Genomic DNA, 25,276 nt, shown 5'->3' on the forward strand with positions numbered 1-25,276 from the left:
CAAACTTTTGACAACACCCCGTGGATCGGCTGGAGGAGCGCCCGCCTCCTCTGTCTTATGATTGGTTGTTAGGCCTCGTGGGGAGCCGTCTCCCTGTGGCTGGTTGGCTAATAGATGGCGCAGCGGGTCAATTAGCTTGAGCGAGACAGCGGGTGTTTCTGGGAGTTGTGGTCCGCAGGGCTGCCTCGCTTCCGGGTGGGAGCTGCTGTTGCCGCGGTGGGAAGACGCAGAGCTTTCAGGCCAGCCCCGCGCGGCTCACGGCTTTTGTGGCTGGTGGCTGGTGGCTGCTGGTTGGGAGGCCCCGGAAGGACTTCTACTCCTCCGTAGGCTGGAGGGCACTAGGAGGTCGCAGGTGCTGAGCTGCCGGGGCCTTTGGGCTGTGCTGAAGGGGAAAAGCGCAGCCACTGTCGGGAGTGTGTGCTGTGGAGGCAGTTGCCGCGGTGATGTTCGCTCCGCCTGGCCCCTGCCGGGGATTCAGCCAACCAACCCTCAACAGCCGGCGGCGGCTCAGTCTCTGGCCCGGCGCGGTGCTGAGCACCACTGAGCCCTCATCTTAGGGCACCGAGGCCCGGACTCCTGCAGCCGCATGTCCAGGCCCCTCCTGCCTTAGCACGGAGCTCCCTTGACTGCTCCAAACAGCCCAGACTGGCGCCTTTTTTGGATAAATTAAAACGGGGCCAATCCGTTGCCAGCGATTGGCTAACGATGGGTACACGACCTAGTACGGGCCAGGGAGAAGTAAGCGAGGTCTGTTGAGGCAGAGTTTCGGGAAAGATCTTCTAGTTAAAAGGGGAGTTGGGTGGGTGGGGGCTGTTTTCTTCCTGTTGTCCTTGCCCAGTGTAAGTTTCCTGGAGCTGCAGCAGCCTTTTTGTCACCATGAGGGCAGCTGGTGGGAACCCTAGGAAAGCAGGAAATCACCTAGAGCCGGAACAGCCTGAGCCTCTGAACCAACCCACAGCTGACTACCCGTCACTTTGTCGTGTCTCTGTGATTTGAGTCCATCATTCTGCTGCAGTTGAAGGTATCCTTTGACAAAGCCCTGTTCTTAACCATTATGGTGAAACGCATGAATCCCTCTTCGGGCTATTTGCTGCATGATCCTCAGCAAATTAAATAGTTAATCTCCCTCAGTTTCCTCATTTATAAAGGATAGGATGATAAAGCATAGAGATCGTGAGGATTACATGAGGCATTTACCTAGAAGATACTTAGAACAATGCTGGACACAAACTAAGTACTTAACAAATGTAACATTTCTCCTATTAGTTAGTACTCCTAAGACTAATTATGCCACCACTGATTCACAGTCCCTTATCAAAAACCTTTCAGGCCAGATGTGTTTGTGAAATTCAGAATTTTTTGAATGTTTAAAAAAGGTGAGATATATTGTATGCCCCCGTAGTCAAACAATGTTTCTATAGCAGAAATGTGTGAGTATTCACAAATATTCACCCTAAGTGGGATATATAAAGGTTGTAAATAGGGCCAGGCACAGTGGCTCATGCTTGTAATCCCAGTACTTTGGAAGGCCAAAGCGGGAGGATTGCTTGAACCCAGGAGTTTGAGACCAGCCTCGGCAACACAGTGAGACCCCCGTCTCTACAAAATAAAAATAACAAAATTAGCCGGGCACTATGGCGCCCACCTGTAGTACCAGCTACTCAGAAGGCTGAGGTGGGAAGATTGCTTGGGCCTGGAAGGTTGAGGCTGCAGTGAGTTGGCTGTGATCACACCACAGCACTCCAGCCTGGCCAATAGAGTGAGACCCTGTCTCAAATAAAATAAATACAATAAATAAATAAAGGTTGTAAATAGTCTCATATCAGTTCAAATGAGTTTACTCCAAGCGTGGGGAAAAACTAATTTGGAGGACTTTCTGCATTTCAGAATTGAAAATAAGGTATGTTGTAGGCCTCTCAAAATGCTTGTCTTGCAGTTTAGATTAGATGACTTGCTTTGTTACCCACTTTTGATTCGCTGGCCTTTATACTGATGGCTGCTTTTCAGATGTGTATAAGAACAAAATTTCAACAAATTTAGTTTCAAAGATCTGATTGGTTTTTAATAGCATTGCATGCACCAGGCAGTCTACAAGATAGAAAGGTGCTCCAATGAGGACCGAGTGGGTGAGTTTGACAGGCAGGAAAAAGTGGAGGAAAGCAGGAAGAATGAACAAATAGCAGATCAGTCATTTCAAGGTTACTTTCCTTATAGAGGTGTAGACGAAATCTTGGTGTAATGTAATTTGGCTTTCATCCCTCTCCTGATTTCTCAGAAGATCTTACAAGTAAGCAACCCAGGTTTCAGTTTGGTAGCATGAATCCTTAGCATTTAGTGACTCCAGTTTTGGTCTGCTGTCTTTCTTAAATGGATGCATGAGGCAACCATTGGGTACTGGGGGGGGGACTGCTTAGCTTAGGAATGAGATACAGCAATAGGTATATTTAGAAGGATGCAGTTTAGCTTAGCACAGTATTTACCAAGCATCAGTCACTTGGGTACTAACTGCAAGATGTATGCTAAACCTCTCCTATTATTTACATAGTATATTTATTTAAATTCTCAATATCTTAAGTTTGAAAAACTTTAAAAATAATATGTGACATCTATAAAGTGATGGTTTGAATGCTCACTATTTTAATATGTTAAATAGATTAATTATTAGAAGAAAATATGGGAGGTCAGGCACAGTGACTTATGCCTGTAATCCCAGCACTTTGGAAGGCCAAGACAGGCGGATTGTCTGAGGCCAGGAGTTCAAGACCAGCTGGCCAACATGGCAAAACCCTGTCTCTGCTAAAAATACAAAAATTAGCCAGGCATGATGGCGCATGCCTGTAATCCCAGCTTTTTGGGAGGCCAAGGCAGGAGAATTGCTTAAACCCTAGAGGCGCAGGTTGCAGTGAGTCAAGATCACACCGCTGCACTCCAGGCCTAGGCGACAAAACAAAACTCTATCTCAAAAAAAAGAAAGAAAGAAAAATTGGCCAGGCACAGTGGCTCCAGCCTGTAATCCCAGCACTTTGGGAGGCCAAGGCAGGTGGATCACAAGGTCAGGAGATGGAGACCAGCCTTGCCACCATGGTGAAACCCTGTCTCTACTAAAATACAAAAAATTAACCAGGCATGGTGGTGGCGGCACGTGCCTGTAGTCCCAGCTACTCGGGAGGCTGAGGCAGGAGAATCTCTTGAACCTGGGAACCTGGGAGGCAGAGGTTGCAGTAAGCCGAGACCACGCCACTGCACTCCAGCCTGGGTGACAGAGTGAGACTCCGTCTCAAAAAAAAAAAAAAAAAAAAAGTAAAGAAAATATGGGAAAACTTCATGATATTGGATTCTTGCATATGACACCAAAAGCACAGTCAACAAAAGAAAAAAATAATTTGGACTATATCAAAATTTAAAATTTTGTACATCAAAGGACACTATTAATCCAGTGAAAAGGCAACCCAGGAAATGGAGAAAATATTTTCAAATCGCATATCTGATAAGGAGTTAATATCCAGATTATATAAAGAATACCTGGCTGGGTGCAGTGGCTCATTCCTATAATCCCAGCACTTTGGGAAGCCGAGGTGGGTGGATCACGAGGTCAGGAGATCGAGACCATCCTGGCCAATATGGTGAAACCTCATCTCTACTAAAAATACAAAAATTAGTCGGGCGTGGTGGTGTGTGCCTGTAGTCCCAGCTACTCAGGAGGCTGAGGCAGGAGAATTGCTTAAACCTGAGAGGCGGAGGTTGCAGTGAGCCAAGATTGCGCCACTACACTCCAGCTTGGATGACAGAGCGAGACTCCATCTCAAAAAAAAAAAAAAAAAAAAAAGAATGCCTACAACTCAACAACAACAACAAAAAACCTGATTGAAAACATGGACAAATACCAGCATGGGCAAGACAGCAAGACCCTGTCTCTCCAAAAAGCAAAAAATTAGCCTCTTGCTAGAGAGGCTGAGGTGGAAGGATCACTTGAGTTCAGGAGTTTGAGGCTGCAGTGAACCATGATCTCACCACTGTACTCTATCTGAGGTAACAAAGTGAGACCCTGTCTCAAAAAAGAAACAAAACAGAAAAATAGACAAATAACTTGAATAGACAGTTCTCAAAAGAAGATATACAAATAGCCAATAAGCACATGAAGATAATATCATCAGTTATTAGGGAAATGCTAATCAAACCCGTATTGAGATACCACTTCACACCCATTAGGATGGCTATTATCAAAAAGAAAAAAACAGTGACCAGGCACTGTGGCTTATGCCTGTAATCCCAGCACTTTGGGAGGCTGAGGCAGGCAGATCACTTGAGGCCAGGAGTTCAAGACCTGGCCAACATGGTGAAACCCTGTCTCTACTAAAAATACAAAAATTAGTCAGGTGTGGTGGTGCAGGCCTGTAATCCCAGCTACTCGGGAAGCTGAAGCAGGAGAATCGCTTGAACTCAGGAGGCAGAGGTTGCAGTGAGCCAAGATCGTGCCACTGCACTCCAGCCTGGGTGACACAGCGAGACTCCATCTCAAAAAAAAAGCAGCCGGGCATGGTGGGTGGCTCATGGCTGAAAACTCAGAGCTTCATGAGGCTGAGCTGAGCGGATCACTTGAGTGTAGGAGTTTGAGACCAGCCTGGGCAGCATGGCAAGACCTCATCTCTACAAAAAAACAGAAATACAAAAATTAACCAGGTATGGTGGCTCCCGCCTGTAGTCCCACCTACTCAGGAGGCTGAGAGGTGGGCAGATTGCCTGGAAGGTCGAGGCTGCAAGTGAGCTGAAATTGTGCCACTGCACTCCTCCAACGTGGGCAACAGATGAAGACCCCCTCTCAAAAAAAAAAAGAGAAAAAGAAAATGACAAGTTTTGGCTAGGGTGTGGAGAAATTGAAACCCTTGTGCATGGCTGGTGGGAATGTAAAATGCTGTAGCCACTGTTGAAAACAGTGTGGTGTTTTTTCAAAAAATTAAAAATAAAATTACCGTGTAATCCAAAATTCCACTTCTGGGAATATACACAAAATAACTGAAGGCAGGGACTCAGAACAGACATTTGTACACCCGTGTTCATAGCAGCATTATTCCCAATAGCCAAAAGTTGGAAGCAACCCAAATGTCCATCAGTGGATAAATAAAATGTGGTCTGTATGTGTATATATATAATATTCTACTGTATATATATATATATATATATATGGTAGAATAATACACAGCCTTAAAAAGGAAGGGAATTTTGGCATATTTTACAACACGGATGAACCTTGAAGATGTAATGCTAAGTGAAATAAGCTAATCACAAAGAGTCCAAACTATGATTCCACTTATATGAGCTGCCTAGAATAGTGAAAGGTGTGGAGACAGAAAGTTGAATGGTGATTGTCAGGGCCTTGGGAGGAGGAGGAGGAATGGGAAGGTACTGTTAAGTGAGTACAGAGCTTTCGCTTGGGAAGATGAAAACATTCTGGAGCTGAATGATGGTGATGTTTGCACAACATTGTGAATGTACTTAACACTACTAAAGCATACACCTAAATATAGTTAAGGTGGCAAACTTCATCTTATGTATATTTTACCACAATAAAAAATACGTTATTAAAATAAAAGTTTCTCAGCCAGGTGCAGTGGCTCACACCTGTAATCCCAGCACTTTGGGAGGCTAAGGAGGGCAGATCGCTTGAGCCCAGGAGTTCAAGACCAGCATGGGCAACAAAGCAAAACCCCATCTCTAAAAATAAAATAAAAATTGTTTCTCATGGCTCGGCATGGTGACACACATTTGTAACCCCAGCAGTTTGAGAGGCATAGGTGGGGAGATCACTTGAGCTCTGGAGTTCTAGGCCAGCCTGGGCAACATAGGGAGAGCCTGGTTTCTACAAAAAATATATATATATAAATTAGCCTGGTGTGGTGGCATGCACCTGTAGTCCCAGCTACTCAGGAGCCTGAGGTGGGAGGATCGCTTGAGCCCAGGAGGTCAAGGCTGCAGTGAGTCATGATCACGCCACTGCACTCCAGCTGGGGCAACACAAGACCCTGCCATAAATAAATAAATAAATAAATAAATAAATAAATAAATACCTGTTTATGCACCACTAACTGTCATCTTGCACACCACCTTCAAGGGAAGTATCTCTCAGGTGGAAGGTGATTCGAGTTCAATCCCACCCTGCCAGTTTCCAGCACCTGGACAAAGCTGCTTGAACCTCTAAGTCCCCTTCCCCTTTTTGGTGTATAAAATTGGTATCGGGGGAACCAGCCCCCAATATTTCAATATAGGTTCTTTCTATTTTCCCTAAGTTTCGGCCGGTCTGAGAAATAAAGAGTACAAAGAGAAATTTTCAGCTGGGCCTCCGGGGGTGTCATCACATATTGGTAGGACTGTGATGATGACCCGAGCTGCAAAACCAGCAAGTTTTTATTAGGGATTTTAAAAGGGGAGGGGGTGTACGAACAGAGAGTAGGTCACAAGGATCACATGCTTCAAAGGGCAATAAAGATCACAAGGCAAGGCAAAATTAGAATTACTGATGAGGGTCTATGTCCCGCTGTGCACGCATTGTCTTGATAAACATCTTAACAGGAAACAGGGCTCGAGAGCAGACAACTGGTCTGACTACGATTTACCAGGCTGGAATTTCCCAATCCTAGTAAGCCTGAGGGCACTGCAGGAGACCAGGGCGTATTTCAGTCCTTATCTCAACTGCATAAGACAAACACTCCCAGAGCGGCCATCTATAGACCTCCCCCCAGGAATGCATTCCTTCCCCAGGGTTGTTCCTTCCTGGGAAAAGAATTCAGTGATATTTCTTCTACTTGCACATCTGTCTATAGGCTTTCTGCAAGAAGAAAAATATGGCTCTATTCTGCCCGACCCCACAGGCAGTCAGACCTTATGGTTATCTTCTCTTGTTCCCTGAAAAATTGCTGTTATTCTGTTCTTTTTCAGGGTGCACTGATTTCATATTGTTCAAACACATATATTTTACAATCAGATTTCATATTGTTCAAACACACGTTCTTCAATCAATTTGTACAATAGTGGTCCTGAGGTGACGTGCATTCTCAGCTTACGAAGATAACAGGATCAAGAGATTAAAGACAGGCATAAGAAATTATAAGAGTATTATTAGGGAAGTGATAAATGTCCATGAAATCTTCACAATTTATGTTCAGAGATTGCAGTAAAGGCAGGCGTAAGAAATTATAAAAGTATTAATTTTGGGAACTGATAAATGTCCATGAAATCCTCACAATTTTATGTTCTTCTGCCTCAGCTCCAGCCGGTCCCTCTGTTCGGGGTCCCTGATTTCCCGCAACAATTGGAATAATAAAACCTGGCATGGTGGCACATACCTGTAGTCCCAGCTACTCGGGAGGCTGAGGCAGGAGGGTTGCTTGAGCCCAGGAGTTTGAGGCTATAGTATGCTATGGTGTAACCTGTGAATGGCTACTGCATTCTAGCCTGGAGAACATAGGGAGACCTTGTCTAAAAACTAGAGAAATAAAATTAAGAATTGGGATGCTAATAGTATCTACCTCAGTGGAATACTTTTGGGTTTGTTTGTTTGTTTGTTTGTTTTTCCCCCAAGACGGAGTCTTGCTCTGTCGCCCAGGCTGGAGTGCAGTGGTGTGATCTCGGCTCACTGCAACCTCCGCCTCCCGGGTTCAAGCAATTCTCCTGCCTCAGCCTCCTGAGTAGCTGGGATTACAGGCACTTGCCACCATGCCCGGCTAATTTTTTTTTTTTTTTTTTTTTTTGAGACGGAGTCTCGCTCTATCGCCCAGGCCGGACTGCGGACTGCAGTGGCGCCAATCTCGGCTCACTGCAAGCTCCGCTTCCCGGGTTCACGCCATTCTCCTGCCTCAGCCTCCCGAGTAGCTGAGACTACAGGCGCCCGCCACCGCGCCCGGCTAATTTTTTGTATTTTTAGTAGAGACGGGGTTTCACCTTGTTAGCCAGGATGGTCTCAATCTCCTGACCTCATGATCCACCCGCCTCGGCCTCCCAAAGTGCTGGGATTACAGGCGTGAGCCACCGCGCCCAGCCCTAATTTTTGTATTCTTAGTAGAGACGGGGTTTCGCCATGTTGGCCAGGCTGGTCTCAAATTCTTGACCTCTTAATCCGCCCACCTCAGCCTCCCAACGTGCTGGGACTACAGGCATGAGCCACCGCACCCGGCCACTTTGGAGTTTTAAGTGAGATGTTTGTCTGTGACTGTGGAGTGGTGAGCACTGTGTCTGGTAAGGTCTCAACTAATGGTAGCTGGTGTGACCATCTCTAGTCTTTCTCTAACTGAGCACACAGTCTTTCCCCTTCCTGGATCACATAGAGTTCAGGCGGTTTCCAGAGAGGTTTGATTCGGTAATGGCTCCTGTATTCAAATGATGAGTGTTTGTTTCTGAGCCTCAGTTCCCTCATCTATAAAATAGGAATAAAATAGACTGCTTCTGTCATCTGCCTTCCAGAGAAGTCAGAGCTTCCAAGAGTGGCTGCTGATTTGCCAATGAACACACTCATTTTGGCCATGCCAAGGGGGATCTGTGTGTGTGATGGGGCCGGGCCAAGGAGCAGTTTGATTCAACTTTTGCAAAGCCATGACTTCTGTTTTTCCATTTACCCAATCTTCCCCCTTTCAAACTCCCATGACGTCTTTTAAAAAGCACCATGTCTGCTCATCTTACTGAGATGTACAAGATAACACGTAAAGCCTGTAGTAGGGAGCCTGGCATGGAGTAGGCATTTCCGAGGCGCTCCTTCCATTCCCTGCTGCCCTCTTATTTAAACATTCCCAGCACTTCCTTGGGCACTAGAATAAGGTTAGATTTTACCTTTGAAATTTACGGTTTCTTTAGATATTACAATAACAATAATTGGTTATCTTCTTTACCTGGAAATGCTTCCCCCTTTGATTAGTCTGTTTTGCACTGCTATAAAGGAATACTGAGGCTGGGTATTTACAAAGCAGTTTATTTGTCTCATAGTTCTACAGACTGTACACGAAGCAACGGTGTCAGCATCTGCTTCCAGTGGGGCCTCAGGAAGCTTTCAATCATGGCAGAAGGCCAAGGGGCAGCGGGGTCTCACGTGGCAAGAGAGGGAGGAGGAGGTGCCAGCCTCTTTAAACAATCAGCTCTTGCATGAACTCTTAGAGCCAGAACTCACTCACTACCTGGAAGACGGCATGGAGACAATAATGAGGGATCCACCCCCATGACCCAAACTCCTCCCACTAGGCCCACCTCCAGCACTGGTGGTCACAGTTCAACGTGAGATTTGGAGGGGACAAACATCCAAACCGTATCACCCCTCAACCCCTCAACTACACCTGGTTTGCTCCTTGTTTTCTAGATTTTGACTGAAATGTCCCCTTCCCGGCAAAGCCGTGTGGACCACCCGGGCTAAAGCAGCCACCTGGTGCTGGCCTGTGTGGCCCAATTCCAGTTCTCCAGGGTGCTCATCACTCTGTGGCAGTTTGTCTTCTGGTTTGTGAGAGAAGAATAAATCTGAGGGACCCAAAATCACTAAAGGGAAAAGTCAAGCTGGGAACTGCTTAGTGCCAACCTGCCTCCCCTTCTATTCAAAGTCACCCCTCTGCTCAATGAAATAAATGCATATCTGATTGCCTCCTTTGGAGAGGCTCATCACAAACTCAAAAGAATGCAACCATTTGCCTTTTATCTACCTATGACCTGGAAGCCACCTCCCGCTTCGAGTTGTCCCGCCTTTCCGGACTGAACCAATGTACATCTTACATATGTTGATTGATGTATCTCCCTAAAATATATAAAACCAAACTGTGCTCTGACCACCTTGGGCATGTGTCATCAGGACCTCCTGAGGCTGTGTCACGGGCGTGCATCCTCAACCTTGGCAAAAATAAACTTTCTAAATTAACTGAGACCTGTCTCAGATATTCGGGGTTCACAAGCTGATGTTCTGTACTCTCTCCGCAACCCCCCAGAGTGCTTTGTTCCCTGCTGTCCAGAGCCAGGCACACTGCAGGCACTCAGGAAAGAAGTGTGCCAACAGAGAGTTCGCTAGTTAGCCTGGCACCTTTGATTTCATTTAATTATTACAGTAATACCGCAGGACTATCCTCATTTTCAGACAAAAAAACTGAGGCTCAGAGAAGTTACCCATGGTGTCCACGGCCGCAAGGCCACCAAGTGGCAGACCTGAATTCAACCAAGTCCATCTGGTTTCCCACCCTTCTGCACCCAGTAGCCTTTGGGTTCCCATGTAAAGCCTCCTTATTAAGCTGCAAGTCTTCCTGAAAACAAGGTGAGTTAGACAAAAACAAACAAACGAAAACAGCAACCCACAGCTCTAGCTTGTCAGGTACCCCAAAGGCCTCCATTTCCCAGTGGCATTTTCTGGGCACCCTGCTGGGGAGTGACGTGCAAGGCCCAGGGCATGGCTTTCTGACATGAGCCTCTGTTGCACACGCTTGTGTACTCTTTATTCTGCATCTGAAGTGGCTTGTGCAGGGCCATGTGTGATTAAGGGGTTTGTCTGCTTCCCCACCAGACTCCTTGCTGGTCCCGCTTACCAGCCAGTTGCCGGGGCCTGTACTGCCCCGGGGCCGTGTATTCCAGGCTTGGCTTCATGCCATGCCCTCTCCACCTCTCTCCTCCTGCGAGGTGCAGCCAGTGTTGCATGGGGACTTCCCATCGTGGCTCAGGCTTGCTCCTCTGACCTCTCCTGGCACTTGGTCCTCCAAAGGAGCTCCCCTTTCTGCTGGCCATCTGCGTTTGCTCACCTGGACTTGCTGAGGGAGCTCGGGTGCCCTGTGTGTGCTTATCTGTGTGTCCCGGCGCCCGGCACAGGCAGGGCCCAGAGTGGGTGCCTGCTCGAGGCCAGGGGATGGGTGAGTTCAGCAGTTAGCTGTGGGGTGTCTGCTTAGGCCCAGCCCTTGGGGGCCTCTAGGAGGGGTCCCCCTGCTCTCCTGCCCTCCTGCCCTCTCTGCAGGAGAGGCTCCAGTGAAGCAGACACAGCTCGATGTTAAGTGAGACAAGTCGGTGAGAATGCACAAGCCACGCAGGCGCTGCTTCGTGATTTTCTCATAACATCTGACACTTGTATGTTCAAATCGCATCACTAAAGAGTAGCTGCATAGGTCTGTCTATGGAGGGTCTCCCACTTTGCTGTCTCTTGTCTCTCCTGTCTAGCCTCGGTCTTTAGCCCTCTCCTCTCCCTGTGGACAGGGCAGTTGTTCTAGCCCAAGAGGATTAGAACCTGAAGGATGCCCTTCTCCCTATAAGGGAAGCCACACATTTGTTTTGGTGAGGGTCATGGTTTTGTTCCAATATCATTTTAGCTTAGGCTGTATTTTCTTTTATAAGACTCAGTTTAAGACTTTTCTACCTGCTCATAAAAATGAGATTAAAAAAAGAGAAAGACTTTTCTAAATGCAATCCTTATAATAATCCAGGAATACTTCATTAAAACAAAAAAGAAAGTAACAATCCACTATTTTTCAACTTTCTTTTTTTTTTGACGGAGTTTTGCTCTTGTTGCCCAGGCTGGAGTGCAATGGTGCGATCTCGGCTCACCGCAACCTCCGCCTCCCGGGTTCAAGCAATTCTCCTGCCTCAGCCTCCCGAGTAGCTAGGATTACAGGCATGCGCCACCATGCCCAGCTAATTTTGTATTTTTAGTAGAGACGGGGTTTCTCCATGTTGGTCAGGCTGGTCTCGAACTTGTCCCCACCTTAGGTGGTCCACCCGCCTTGACCTCCCAAAGTGCTGGGATTACAGGCGTGAGCCACCGCACCTGGCCTCAACTTTCAAAATAATGTCTCTACATGCAGACTTTTGTAATCTAAGCCAGTGCCCTGAATTATTTTCTGACATTGTAAATGTGCTTTTTAAGGATGATAAACAAAGATAATTATTTAATATCAAAAGACTTTAGGCCAGGTGCGATGGCTCACGCCTGTAATCCCAGCACTTTGGGAAGCTGAAGTGGGTGGATCACTTGAGGTCAGGAATTCGAGACCAGCCTGACCAACATGGTGAAACCCCGTCTCTACTAAAAATAAAAAAAATAGCCAGGTGTCATGGCGGGCACCTGTAATCCCAGCTGCTCAGGAGACTGAGGCATGAGCATCACTTGAACCTGGGAGGCAGAGGTTGCAGTGAGCCAAGATCTCACCACTACACTCCAGCCTGGGCAACAGAGTAAGACCCTGTCTCAAAAAAAAAAAAAAAAGAAAAGACTTTATGACCAGTGCAAATTAGAGATCTATATGACACTGTATAACGTATATGCCCAAGTCTGTCTCACAATGGTACTCTAAACACTCGCTATATACAGAAGGTAAGAATTTTATAGTCATTTTGCATTTTCTTCAAAGGTGCTGTTGATAAATAAAAATATTAATAAACCACAAATGTACCTTCCAAAGTCAATAGTTTTATGTTTGAATGGAAAGTACTATCTCCCATCTTAACCTACCCCTGCTTCTAAGAGCTTGACAATGTTTGTTAAATGCCACACACCAGTGTCCTTTCTAAGTCATGTTTTATTTCAACAATAGATTGAAATTTTACCATGATGTTTTATATTTCATCCTAAGTTTTTTTATTTTCAAGTGTATGAAGTCACATCAGTTATGTCTGATAATCCATTTTGGACATGTATTTTCATATAAATTATAGGACATTTTTGCCTTTCAGTTCTCACAACATAGTAAGGAAAAAAAAAAAACCCCCAGCATGTGGAAATATGACTGATGCCATGTTAGTGTGTGGTTGGAAATAATAAAGATTATAAATGACTCCATAGGTGTAGAAAATAAGGGGAGAAGACTTATTGGGGAGAAGTAAAAAAGCTTGTTTTCTTTATGCATAGCAGAAAGAAGGCACCATGACTGATATATTACTATTCACCTTCTTTTTATTTCTAAGGGGGTTTTTATTAACCCCTTTTTATCAATCAAAATAAATTGATTGCCAGTGAATGCAATATTTTCTGACTATTTGAAATTATACAATGAAAGCAAAGACATGTAAACTCACATACTACATTTGCTGACAAACAAGAGACAACCTTTCCCCCAAAAAAGGATTGCTAAATAGTTAAAGATTGTTACAGCTATCTCTTAAAAAAAGAACATTTTAGGCCAGGCATGGTGGTGCTCACCTGTAATCCCAGCACTTTGAGAGGCCAAGGCAGAGGATCTTTTGAGCCCAGGCGTTGGAGACCAGCCTTGGAAATATAGGCGACCCCCATCTCTATAAAAAATAAAAATAAAAGTAGCCTGGTGTGGTGGCACATGACTGTGGTCCCAGCTATTCAGGAGGCTGAGGCAGAGGATCCCTTGAGCCTGGGTGGTCTAGGATGCAGTGAGCCATGGTCACGCCATTGCACTCCAGCCTGGGTGAAAAAGCAAGACCCTTTTTCAAAGAAAATAATATTTTATTTAAGGATAGGATTAGGCCTTGGGATTCCTTTGGAATTCAACTTCATCCAGCTGTGTTAGTGGTCATGTAGTCATTAAATATCAGAATACTGTTATTTAATAAATATACCCCATCATAAAAGGTCATATTTCTTTAGGGCAAATACAGTTAGGACCAATCTCCGTCCTGGGCAAGGACTTACCTGATTCAAGAGGGGAGAAAACAGGGTGGTCAGGAATACATTTGTGATTCACTCCCTGAAGAGGCAGTCTGGTGACGTGGTTTGGCTGTGTCTCCACCCAAATCTCTTCTTGAATTGTAGCTCCCATGATTCCCACGTGTTGTGGGAGGTAATCAAGTCATGGGGGTGGGTTTTTCTTGTGCTGTTCTCCTGATAATGAGAAGTCTCATGAGATCTGATGGTTTTATAAAGGGGAGTTCCCTGCATAAGCTCCTTGCCTGCCTCCATGTGAGACATGACTTTGCTCCTCCTTTGACTTCTGCCATAATTGTGAGGCCTTCCCAGCCATATGCAACTGTGAGTCCATTAAACCTCTTTCCTTTATAAATTACCCATCTTGGGTATTTTTTTTTTTTTTTTTTTTTTTTTTGAGACAGAGTTTCGCTCTTACTGCCCAGGCTGGAGTGCAATGGCACAATCTCAGCTCACCGCAACTTCTGCCTCCCAGGTTCAAGTGATTCTCCTGCCTCAGCCTCCTGAGTAGCTGGGATTACACGCATGCGCCACCATGCCTGGTTAATTTTTTATTTTTAGTAAAGATGGGGTTTCTCCCTGTTGGCCAGGCTGGTCTCAAACTCCCAACCTTAGGTGATCCACTCGCCTCAGCCTCCCAAAGTGCTGGGATTACAGGCGTGAGTCACTGCGCTGGGCCAGTATGTCTTTATTAGCAGCATGAAAACTGACTAATGCATCCGGTCACTCTTAGCACAGTGACATTGAATGTGCACAAACTAAAAAATAAGGTTTCAACCAAACTGGTGAGAGCATTCCTCTTGGTGTTCTCTAGGAAGAAGGCCAGAGGGTTTGGGACAATAGAAATAAAACACAGTGGTTTTGAAAATGGGGCCAAACTGTGCTTCCCCGTGGCGGGGCTGAGAAGGAGGGAGCAGGGCACTGAGCCCGCTGTTCTTTCGGCCCTGGGCTCTCTGCCTCCTACCATCAGCCCTCAGGGCAGCTGCTCCTCGCTGACCACCTGGCTGCTGATGGGCTTGGTGGCCAGCAGAGCTGCCCCGTTTTGTCTGTGCAGAGTCAGCCAGACGTGGCTCAGCGCAGCTCTTTCCCTCGGTTTCATGGAGTAAAGGGTTCCTCATTAGGGCCCCACACATCCGTCTCTCATCATAGGAGGGTGACTTTCTTCCTGCATCTCCCGTTTCCACTTAGTCATTTCAACCAGCGGCAAACTGGAAAAAGAACGTATATGTTATGGTGGCAAAGTCTGAAGGTAATGTTGGCATGGAGTGTTTCAATAAGATGTTTCTTTTGATTAAAGCATATTTCATATGATGGGCAAGTAATAGATACAACCTCAGACGTAGGCTAATCATGGAGTCAACAGCAAACTTCTACTTGACTCCTAGGAAACTAGCTCCCTCACCAGAACATTACCGCTGTATTTCTTTCTTTCTTTCTACATACCATCAGGCAACTGGGGCCTATGCATCCTTAAGAATTAGTGGTTTGTTTTTTCTTTTCTTTTTTGGTTTGTTCTAGAAGAAGAAATTTAAAGCCAGCCATTGTTTTACAGAAAAATCATCCTGCCATTGAAACCCAAAGTGGTCCATCCAGTCTGGAGGCCGTGGGAACCATGAATCCTTTCAGAGTTTGAAGCAAATGCAAAACTGTTCACGTCATCCTGGGTTATTTTATTGTCTCACCACCTTCCTGAAATGGAGCTCGAACTTCATTTAGAGTAGCTCTCGGGCACGCTGGCAGGGGGGCTCCCAGAGCTGAGTGAGCAAGGGGTGCATTGAGAAGCAGGCGTTCTGCCCCGACCGGCCCACCTCACTCTCCGCAGAGGGAGGCATTTGTGGTGGGCCAATGTGCATGCAGCCCCAGGCTGGACAACTCCAGAAGAAACTCAAGAACACAAATGTAGATGATTAACCAAAATAGTCTGTTCCATCTTCCTGCACTGGGGGGAAATGCCTCTTGTATTTTAGAGGAGAGAGAGAATGGGAAGGAAGCCACTGCAGGTGTGGCAGACATTGGAGGACTCAGGTCAAGTATAAAACTGCTGTGGCCACGGATTTAACTAAGTTTCAACCAAGTAGCTTTCCAGGTTGGGTGACATCTGCTACATGCTAGAACTAGCTGTGGAGTCTGTGCTTTGGCCCCAGTTTGGAGTCCAGAACTATTAGCATGTATCACCGAGTTGTGTTTGTAAGGGTTGTGTGTATTTTTAGTGCTTCCCAGAGCTTTCTACCCTGATCGCCTTCCACAGGTAGAAGCGGCTGACTGTACCTGGTACCTGGGGCCACTCCAGAGGTCCCCTCTGGGAGGTGATGCCTCTGTGCACAAGCAGCCTGTGCAAGAATGTCAAGGTCAGCGGAAGAGAGGGCACACGCCCTCCAAGGAGGTGGTGTGGGTTGGGACTCAGTGTCCTGGAAGGGACCTCCTTCAGGCAAGAGCTCTTGGAGTCAGACGGCACGAAAGAACCTGAGTATAGAACTTCTCAGGTCTCTAAGGAATTACATCTGATTCTATAAGAATCAGAAGTTTGTTGGCCAGGTGCAGTGGCTCACATCTGTAATCCCAGCACTTGGAGAGGCTAAGGCAGGAAGATCACTTGAGCTCAGGAGTTGGAGACCAGCCTGGGCAATATAGTGAGACCTCATCTCTATTAAAAAAAAAAAAAAAAAGTTTGTGACACCAAGGAAAGCTCATCTGGGTCCTTAGTTTCTTAGATATGAAACATGAACTACAAATAACAGCAGAAAATTAACTCCATCTGGACTTGGAGGATAAATACACATATGCACACACATGCACACAATACTATTTACATATAAAACATTGTGACTCAAACGGAGAGAAAATGCAGCTGCATGTAAACATCTGTGGTGATTAGGTATACCCACTCAGTGACCAACAAATTGCATTCAGTGTGTCTGGGGTGATCGCCTCAGGAACTGGGCCTTCGGTTAGTAACGATGCTTTGGAAGCATGTATGCCAGTCATAACATGTGGAGGGCTTTTCCTCTCTCCCTCCCTGTGTTAACATGCTTTCATATGGCTAGTACAGTCTTGATAAATCTTGCAGGATCTCAAATAGCCTAGTGAAACGGGAAGAGAAGAAGGTGTTAAAAGTTTGCAGGTCAGGGGAAAAGCACGTGTTTTGGGTGAGTCGGTGGAGCCTCCACAAATACAGCATCGGTTTGTGTGAATTCTCAGCTGTGGTTTCTCAGGTTGAATAAAGCCACTCAACAAAGGCTGCTGTTTCTCCAGCCTGAAGAGGCACTTATGCCACCTACAGCCTGGAATCTGGCACTACAATTCGCGCCCAAGTCCCTGGCTCATCCTAGGTGGGAGATTAGAATCTATGTAGGGAATGGAAAATGGGCAGGCATTCCAGGGTGAGTTTTTCTTCCCCCCCGATAAATTGTAAACAAACAATTACAAACATGTTTGAAAATTGTTTTAACTAGTTTTTAGAGATTGCAATAGCTGGGTTGGGATTTATGAACTACATTTCTTATAAATACATTTCTTCTAGAGAACTTCTTGTGGGACGTAATCACTTTTCCCCTCTGTATAGCAGCCCCACAACTCAACCCAAAGCTAGGTTAGGCTACTGGGTACACACTTACCCAGATAGTCTTAGCTTCTTAGGGGAAACCAGATTACTGTGAAGCCATCAGATAAGACATACTTCTGAAAAGAAATGGAATGTATTTTTATTGGCAGAGTCAAGATGAAGTATGTTTTGAAATCTGTTTTACAAATAAACTTACACATAAATTGTCCATCCACTACTTGGAAATCTTTTTTCGTGTTTGAGGAGCTGTCAGAGGTCTCTAATAAACAGTGAGTCTTATTTAGTTTACTGGATATGTAATTCTTCTTTTCTTTGAAAATAATTATTTTTCAAGCAAGTGCAGCAAAAATACAACCAATAAAAATCTAGCTATGACAGCATAAACAACCTTTATGGCATGCATATACATAGACTTCTTCCAATAAAAGCAGTTCCTGGCAAGAAAGGGAACAGAAAATTGGCTGATGTGTTCCCAGATAAGTTCTGGACTCTTAAGGGCTGAGAGAAGAGTCCTCACAGCCCATCTCCAACTCCCCATCCCAGACCGGTCCTTGGTTAGCGTGAGGGAGGCAGGTCCCCATTGCCAGAGTGGCTTGGGCTAAGGAGAAGGGACGGGCTGCTGTCAACTTGGAGTCAGGGGAGCCCCTTCCCAAGGCCCGTTCTTGGGGCCAGGAAGTCTGCTGGACAGAGGCTGAACCCCCCTGCAGGCTCCGGAGGAGCGGGTGGGAGACCGGCCACTGTTCAGGCTCCCCATTCTTGGTCCAGGCCAATTGTCCCCGCGGGAGGGCGGTGCCACGGTGGGTGACAGGGCTGGGGGCGGGGTAGGGGTCGACTTAAGATAATCTGGTCCAGGGGTTCTGCTCTGGGCTGGGTCGACCCGGCTCGCGGGGAGGCTGTTTGCCCTGGGCCTTCCCATCCCCGCGCCTTCCCATCCCCGCGCCCACGCCGCACCCAGGCGAGCAACGTGGAGGGTCGGCGCGGGGCTGCTCCCGGGGAGCCTGGGGTTGCAAGTTCTCAGCAGACGTGCGGGTGCTCATTTATGCTTTTTATAGTAGCTGGAGAAGATGTTATCGCAGCTTGAGAACAGAAATTAAAATATGTATCCTTCAGGTGCAAATCTACTGTACTTACAGTTTTACCGTTTCTCTGCAGGGGGGCTCCATTAATCTTGTAAGAGTGAAATTCCTAAGGAAATTAATTCCCTCCAGTTGGGGTTATTCTCAACTGGTCTTTGGGGGCGGAGTAATTGGAATTTAAGAGTCGCTCTTAAAAGAAAGGAAACGTTGGCCATTTTACTCGAATAACACTTTCTAATGCCAGGCTTTACTCTTTAAAACACCTCCTCCTTCTTTCTCTCCCTGCACCTCTTTGTGTTTCTGGGCTTCCCTTGGTAGGGTTTACAAAGACCCCCACCAGGTGGGACCTCCCCTCCCAGTTTTCCTGAGGCTGACCCCACATTCCTTTCCACGTGGGTTATTTGTGGCCCCCCACCCCCCCTTCTCCCACTGCGCAGCCTGAGGACCACGGGACCACAGGAGGGAATGAGGCATCATGAAAAGTTCATGGCTAAATCATTTCCTTGCCTGTTTAGGAGCAGTAAATGTTTGTTGTCATCACCCAGCAAAATAATTACACCTCAATTTCTCTCTCTCTCTCTCTCTCTCTCTCACACACACACACACACACACACACCCTTTAAAATACAGGCAATTCATAGGCAAGAGGTGAAGTTTTTTTTGCTGCCAGGAAAGTCCAGGAAAGCATCTTCCACTGGAGCTTCAGGTCTCCAAGGCCTAAGCTTCAGTCCCCAGGCCCAGAGCCCCAGGCCCTTATTCTTCAGGCTATGGGAACCCCACCACCACCACCAAGACGGAATAGAACTTGGCTAAATGGCTAAATGCAGGTGTGGTGGCACACGCCTGTAGTCCCAGCTGCTTGGGAGGCTGAGGGAGAAGAATTGCTTGAACCCGGGAGGCGGAGGTTGCAGTGAGCCGAGATCATGCCACTCCACTCCAGCCTGGGCGTCAGAACGAGATTCCGTCTCAAAAAAAAAAAAAAAAAAAAAAAAACCATGGCTAAATGATGCTTATATACAGGGTCAGTAGAATATTAGCGGCCAGGAGGAACCCGTGGGCACATGGCCACAATCAGCCACAGTCCTTGCTTTTCAGCTTAATGGGGCTTAAGGGAAAGGCCAGGTCCAGCGCATTCTAGGCCAGGTCCAGCGCATTCTGTGCCAGCCCAAGCCAATTTAATAGGGTCATGGCCAGTTTTTCCCTGTGGGCCCTAACATGGTCATAGGGAGAGAGGATGGACTTTCCAGGGCACTGTTCGGGGCAGTGAGTCCTGGCGATGTCCCTCCTCTGCTGTGGGTTGGGCAGTTTCCTTAGCTATACAGTGGGTCATGGGCAGTGTGGGTCCCACATCATCAGCTTAATGGGGTGCTGAATGATCAATACAGATGTTTACCTTTGGGGGCTTTTAATAGCTGAAAAGTGCCATCTACCAGTGGGCACCTGTGTATCCCATAGCTCCCCAAAACCTGGCTCAGCTCAGGGCAGAGCCTAGTAGTCTGCTGTCCATGTCAGAATATCAGAGCTCCTAGAGCTGGGAGGAGGTCATCTGCTGCCCCTAGGCCTCTTGATATCAACAGTGACAACATGGGCTCAGGAAACAGAAGCCTAGAATGAGGCCTCAGCTACAACCTCAGAAGCAAAAGTTTTTCTCTGATCTTCTCTTGCCCTCCTGTCCCTGCCCCTCATTCTCCTCTGAGGCTAGCCAGAGAAACTAGAATCCCTCTTCCCTTAGGCACATCATAGAAACCAGTACCCCTTTCCCCCAAATAATTACTCTAACTCCCTGCCCCCCAACACCCGAAAATCCAAAATTCTCCGTGCTACCTAATACACCATATCCTATAGCAAGGTCAGCTAAATAAGCTGACCCCACCTTTCCCGTGTAAAAACAAAGAACCCAACACCCCACCTTTTCTCTGTAAAAACTGGCCATGGGCCAGACATAGTGGCTATGCCTGTTATCCCAACACTTTGGGAGACCAAGGCAGGTGGATCACTTGAGGTCAGGAGCTCAAGACCAGCCTGGCCAATGTGGTAAAACCCCATCTCTACTGAAAATACAAAAAATTAGCCTGGTGTGGTGGCGCATGCCTGTAATCATAGCTACTCGGGAAGCTGAGGCAGGAGAATTACTTGAACCCGGGAGGTGGAGGTTGCAGTGAGCCGAGATCATGCCACTGCACCCCAGCCTGGGTGGCAGAGCGAGACCCCATCTCAAAAATAAGCAAACAAAAAAACTGGCCAAAAAGAAATGTTCTCACCTACCTTGCTTGAGTGTAGTTCATAAGACCTCATTCCACAGAGGGTCTTGCTCCTTTACCCAGAAGGAAGGAGGCTGCACAGAGGCCAGGAAGAATCTGAACACCAGACCAGCCTTGCTGGGTTCTCCCAGTCAGTTCTTTTCAAAGACAAAACACAAAGTCACATTTATTAGAGTTGTCCACAGTCAGCAATGGTGACCTTCTTGCTGGTCTTGCCATTTCTGGACCCTCATGCCTTCTTTCATCTTGCCAAAGACCACATGCTCGCCATGCAACCACTGAGTCTTGGCAGTGCAGATGCCAAACTGGGAACCGTACGTGTTGGTCCAGCATTTGCCTTGGACAACATGCCGGGACCTGTATGCTTCAGGCTACAGTTTTCATCATCAAATTTCTCCCTGTAGATGGACTTGCCACCAGCGCCATTACGGCGTGTGAAGCCACCACCCTAACACATAAGCCCTGGAATAATTCTGTGAAAGCAGGAACCCTCATGACAAAATCCTTTCCCTCCAGTGCTCAGAGCATGCAAGTGTTCTGCTGTCTTTGGAATCTTGTCTGCAAACAGCTCGAAGGGCTGTTTGATGGCCCCAGGGCTTGCCATTGACGGCCATGTTGAAGAACATGGTGGGATTGACCATGGCTGGTAGCAGGGGGTTCTGGGGGGCGTCAGCATCTGCAAAGCCCCCAGTGAGTTCTGCTAGCATAAGAGCATACCCATTTTGTCCAATCGTATTTCTACATAACTGTCCATACTTCGTTGAACCTAAGCATACAAATGGACAGTTTTCCCTGTATCTTTGAGTCTTCACGTGTCACGTGAAACTGTGATCAAATAAATTTGTTTATCTTTTCTCCTATTAATCTGCCTTTTGTCAGTGATTTTCAGCAAACCATCAGAGGGCTAAGGAGAAGCTTTCCTGTGGCCCCTACAATAATAAACTACAAAAAGGGCAGAAATGGAAGTGTTATCCAGGAGTTTTCATAGCATTTTTTTTAGAGTCTGCTCTGCAACTGGTTTGTGCCACTTTCAGCAAATTCCATTTAAAAGAAAAATCAGCGGGCCGGGGGCGGTGGCTCACGCCTGTAATCCCAGCACTTTGGGAGGCCGAGGTGGGCGGATCACGAGGTCGGGAGATCGAGACCATCCTGGCTAACACGGTGAAACCCCATCTCTACTAAAAATACAAAAAATTAGCCGGGCGTGGTGGCAGGCGCCTCTATTCCTAGCTACTCGGGAGGCTGAGGTAGGAGAATGGCATGAACCCGGGAGGCGGAGCTTGCAGTGAGCTCAGATCGCGCTACTGCACTCCAGTCTGGGTGACAGGGCAAGACTCCGTCTCAAAAAATAAAAAATAAAAGAAAAATCAGCATTTATAAAACAGCCACATTTGAGGGGTGATTACTGCTTTTTTTTTTGAAAAGGATTCACTATAGCACATTTCCCCTGTGCAATACAATTTCATTATTTTTTAAATGTCAAAAGCAGTCTATGCTATTAGAAAACAAGCAAATGACACAAAGAAGTGTGTAAGTCAAAGTGAAGGGCCTCCCTTTAGCTCTCCTCTGTTTCTGCCCTCTGGAGGCAAGCTCTGATAATAATTTGGGGAGCATCCTTCTGGAGACCCTTTTCTATGAGCCATTCACTGATATAGTTATATGTTTTATTTACATTCAATTCTACTTAAAAATGATAATCACAGGCCGGGCACAGTGGCTCACACCTGCAATCCCAGCACTTTGGGAAGCCGAGGCGGGCGGATCACCTGAGGTCAGGAGTTCGAGACCAGCCTGACCAACATGGAGAAACTCCGTCTCTACTAAAAATACAAAATTAGGCGGGCGTGGTGGCACACACCTGTAATCCCAGCTACTTGGGAGGCTGAGGCAGGAGAATCGCTTGAACCCGGGAGGTGGAGGTTGCGGTGAGCCGACATCACGCCATTGCACTCCAGCCTGGCCAACAGGAGCAAAACTCCATCTCAAAGAAAAGAAAAGAAAAAAAGTGATAACCAGAATGTGTATCTTGTTTTATGACATGGTATCTTTTTCTTTTTTTTTGACATGGTGTCTTTTTTCCCTCCTATTGCATTCTTTTCATAGTAAACTTTAAAGTCTTATTTACATGGTTTTTAACTAAACTTTTTAGTTTAAAACAACTGTAGATTCACATGCAGTTGTGAGAAATAATACAGATCCTGTGTACACTTTCTTCCGATGACAACACCTTGCAAAACTGTAATACTGCAACCAGGATGTTGATATTTATAAACAATCGACTGATCTTTTTCAGATTTTCCCAGTTTTACTTGTACTCGTGCGCGCGTGCATGCGTGTGTGTGTGTGTGTGCGTTGTTTTTGTTTTTGAGACAGGGTCTTGCTCTGTCGCCCAGGTTAGTGGGCAGTAGCAGTGGCAGGATCATGGCTCACTGCAGCCTCCAACTCCCAGGCTCAAGTGATCTTCTCACCTCAGCCTCTCACCTACCTGGGCCCACAAGTGTGAGCCACCATGCCTGACTCATATATATATATATATTTTTGTAGAGACCGGGTCTTCCTATGTTGCCCGGCTGGTCTCCAACTCCTCGGCTCAAGTGATCCTCCTGTCTGGGGTTTCCAAATTGTTGGGATTACAGGTGTGAGTCAGAGCACCCAGCCAAGTTCTATACAATTTTATCATGTTTAGTTTGTGTTCTCACCACCACAGGCAAGATACAAAATGGTTCCTCATCACTCTCCTGTTGCATTTTAAATAACACAATTTACCGTGTTCAATACCATGTATTTCTCCAGGTGAGGTATACATGTGACAGGCTCCAAAAGGCTTTTAAACACCACAGTAGTGCTGCCCAAGAAAATTCAAGGGCCACGAATGAAAGTTGCCTATGAAATTAGACATTTCTCAGGAGCCAAAGGTAAAAGAGACCAATTTAAATAATATATTTCAGAAAACCGAATATATCCAAATATCCTCATTTCAACATGTAATCAATATAAAAAGTATGAATGATATGCTACTTTTCTCGTACGAAGTCTTTGCAATCCAGTGAGCCCAGTCCTCTGGCAGCTGTTAGCATGGACTGAGTACCTCCTATGTGTCTGACTCTGATCCAGGCACTGAGACACAGATCAGCTCCTGCCCTTTAAGAACACAGGCCAATGGAGGACAAGCACAGTTCTACAACATGAGACAGGCCACGGTAGAAGCAAGCAAAGGAGGCCTGGGAACACCTGGCTAGTAGGGAAGGCTCTGTGGGGGCTTGGCCTCAAAGCCCAGGGACAGCAGGGGGACCAGTCAGAAGGAGCCCCAAGTGTCTGGGTGGGAGCGATGGTGTTCCCTGAGATGGGAACCAAGAGGAGAGGCACTTTGGAGGGAAGGCCCAGTGTGGTTTGGGGATATCCAATAAAAGATGGCCCCTCCTCAAAGTTAGTGGATGCTAGGCTCTGGGATGCAGGGGAGGGTTCTGGGCTTGCTATTGAGGTTTCCCTGGAGGTTGATGTCACTGGGGGCATGGAGATTACTCAGGCCAGAAGGTGTGTGGGAAGCATGGGGTGTGGGGTACAGAGTACACCACATGGAGAGCCAACATCAGGGGGATTCCCAAGGGAGAAAGACAAGCCAGGGATCATCCAAGGAGGCAAGACGGGAGGAGTGCAGGGATCTGTGGACCCACCCAGCCCCTTCTGTTCTGAGGTTACAATGGGTGATGGCTCTGTGGGGCTGCAATGAGTGGCGGCACGCGCGGAGGGCCAGGGGAGGAGGGACATGCTGTGGGCTCCGGGTTCAGGTCCCAGGACTGAATTGGAAGCACCCTGTCTGTGTTGAAGTTCAAGATCTACCACTTCTGTTCCCAGACCTCCCAGTTCTTCCTCACCTTTATGCAATTTCATTTTTGATAATTTCAGCTTCCTAAATGTACACATCTGACTTCACTTTCACTCACATGTCTCACCCCCACCCCTCCACCGGCCCCTTCTATTACAGACCCAGGAGACACAGGAAGTGCAAGGAAGGTCTGGAGCCCCAAAAGCCAGGAGCCTCAGGAGTCAGGTGTCCTGACAGCCAGGAACCCTGACACCCAGGAGCCCTGGCACCCAGGAACCCCAACAGCCAGAAGCCTCTACCACCAGGAGCCCTGACAGCAAGGAACCCCGACACCCAGGAGCCCCTACTACAGCCAGGAAGCCAGGAACCCTAACACCAGGAGCCCTGACACCCAGTCACCCCGACAGCCAGGAAGCCAACAGCAAGAAGCCTCTACCACCAGGAGCCCTGACAGCAAGGAACCCCGACACCCAGGAGCCCCTGCTATAGCCAGGAACCCTAACACCCAGGAGCCCCTACAGTCAGGAACCCCGACACCCAGGGGTCCCGACAGCCAGGAACCCCGACACCCAGGGGTCCCGACAGCCAGGGGCCATTACGGCCAGGAGCCCCGACAGCCAGGGACCTCGACGGCCAGAATCCACTACATCCAGAAGCCCTTATAACCGGGAACCTCCATAGCCAGGAGCCCCTACAGCCAGGAGCCCCTTCAGCCAGGGAGCCCCGAAAGCCAGGAGCCCCGACAGCCAGGAACCATAACAGCCATGAACCCCGGGAGCCAGGAGGCCCGCAGCGGAGTGCCCAGACTTGGCAGGGTCAGAGCCCCCCAGCGGGATCCAGAGCCCGCCGCCGAGGCCCCTTTTGGGATTTCTCAGGCTCGGCAGCCTCAGCGCAGGCAGGGGCGGGGCTTTCCCTCGCGCAGCCGCTCAGCTCCCCGTGGCCCCG

General features: G+C 47.3%; 3 long non-coding RNA genes and 1 pseudogene across 7 annotated transcripts, besides 8 other annotated features; 2 read left to right on the top strand and 2 right to left on the bottom strand.

The window, feature by feature from the left end:
* Nucleotides 100-429: an enhancer, noted in NCBI's record as "active region_4208". NCBI's record gives its function as "activates an Ori minimal core promoter by ATAC-STARR-seq in GM12878 lymphoblastoid cells {active_cell/tissue: GM12878}" and the evidence as "EXISTENCE:reporter gene assay evidence [ECO:0000049][PMID:35858748]".
* LOC102724883 (uncharacterized) lies at nt 198-16,255 on the top strand. Of its 3 annotated transcripts, none has more exons than NR_188169.1 (3): nt 198-1,021; nt 2,223-2,287; nt 15,159-16,255. It is a non-coding gene; the product is annotated as an uncharacterized LOC102724883 (long non-coding RNA). The 3 variants fall into 3 exon arrangements; NR_188168.1 differs by lacking the exon at nt 15,159-16,255 and adding an exon at nt 8,971-9,887; NR_188170.1 differs by lacking the exons at nt 2,223-2,287; nt 15,159-16,255 and adding an exon at nt 8,971-9,887.
* Nucleotides 910-1,039: an enhancer, noted in NCBI's record as "active region_4209". NCBI's record gives its function as "activates an Ori minimal core promoter by ATAC-STARR-seq in GM12878 lymphoblastoid cells {active_cell/tissue: GM12878}" and the evidence as "EXISTENCE:reporter gene assay evidence [ECO:0000049][PMID:35858748]".
* LOC124902560 (uncharacterized) lies at nt 8,941-10,989 on the bottom strand. Its single transcript, XR_007062392.1, has 2 exons — nt 10,539-10,989; nt 8,941-9,158 (listed from the first exon to the last, which is right to left on the bottom strand). It is a non-coding gene; the product is annotated as an uncharacterized LOC124902560 (long non-coding RNA).
* Nucleotides 10,087-10,587: an enhancer, noted in NCBI's record as "H3K4me1 hESC enhancer chr10:131919446-131919946 (GRCh37/hg19 assembly coordinates)". NCBI's record gives its function as "activates a minimal SCP1, AML or CMV promoter by ChIP-STARR-seq in primed H9 embryonic stem cells {active_cell/tissue: H9 hESC(primed)}" and the evidence as "EXISTENCE:reporter gene assay evidence [ECO:0000049][PMID:30033119]".
* Nucleotides 10,087-10,607: a biological region, named in NCBI's record as "H3K4me1 hESC enhancer GRCh37_chr10:131919446-131919946".
* Nucleotides 10,438-10,607: an enhancer, noted in NCBI's record as "experimental_11120 CRE fragment used in MPRA reporter constructs". NCBI's record gives its function as "activates a minimal promoter by MPRAs in K562 erythroleukemia cells, with activity observed for both the introgressed and non-introgressed 10:131919882 variant alleles {active_cell/tissue: K562}" and the evidence as "EXISTENCE:reporter gene assay evidence [ECO:0000049][PMID:34662402]".
* Nucleotides 10,588-11,088: an enhancer, noted in NCBI's record as "H3K4me1 hESC enhancer chr10:131919947-131920447 (GRCh37/hg19 assembly coordinates)". NCBI's record gives its function as "activates a minimal SCP1, AML or CMV promoter by ChIP-STARR-seq in primed H9 embryonic stem cells {active_cell/tissue: H9 hESC(primed)}" and the evidence as "EXISTENCE:reporter gene assay evidence [ECO:0000049][PMID:30033119]".
* Nucleotides 12,317-12,486: an enhancer, noted in NCBI's record as "experimental_11122 CRE fragment used in MPRA reporter constructs". NCBI's record gives its function as "activates a minimal promoter by MPRAs in K562 erythroleukemia cells, with activity observed for the introgressed 10:131921761 variant allele {active_cell/tissue: K562}" and the evidence as "EXISTENCE:reporter gene assay evidence [ECO:0000049][PMID:34662402]".
* Nucleotides 12,906-25,276, bottom strand: LOC105378561 (uncharacterized). Of its 3 annotated transcripts, XR_001747659.2 has the most exons (6): nt 22,364-25,276; nt 20,510-20,642; nt 17,221-19,209; nt 16,492-16,686; nt 13,595-13,783; nt 12,906-13,224 (listed from the first exon to the last, which is right to left on the bottom strand). It is a non-coding gene; the product is annotated as an uncharacterized LOC105378561 (long non-coding RNA). The 3 variants fall into 3 exon arrangements; XR_001747657.2 differs by lacking the exons at nt 12,906-13,224; nt 13,595-13,783 and having other exon boundaries at nt 14,257-16,686; nt 17,221-17,284; nt 22,364-22,405; XR_007062393.1 differs by lacking the exons at nt 12,906-13,224; nt 13,595-13,783; nt 20,510-20,642; nt 22,364-25,276 and having other exon boundaries at nt 14,257-16,686; nt 17,221-17,284; nt 17,365-17,500.
* Nucleotides 15,573-15,742: an enhancer, noted in NCBI's record as "experimental_11124 CRE fragment used in MPRA reporter constructs". NCBI's record gives its function as "activates a minimal promoter by MPRAs in K562 erythroleukemia cells, with activity observed for both the introgressed and non-introgressed 10:131925017 variant alleles {active_cell/tissue: K562}" and the evidence as "EXISTENCE:reporter gene assay evidence [ECO:0000049][PMID:34662402]".
* On the top strand, nt 20,650-21,146 carry PPIAP32 (peptidylprolyl isomerase A pseudogene 32; annotated as a pseudogene).

Source organism: Homo sapiens, chromosome 10 (genome assembly GCF_000001405.40).
Source record: "Homo sapiens chromosome 10, GRCh38.p14 Primary Assembly".
Classification (NCBI taxonomy): Eukaryota; Metazoa; Chordata; class Mammalia; order Primates; family Hominidae; genus Homo; species Homo sapiens.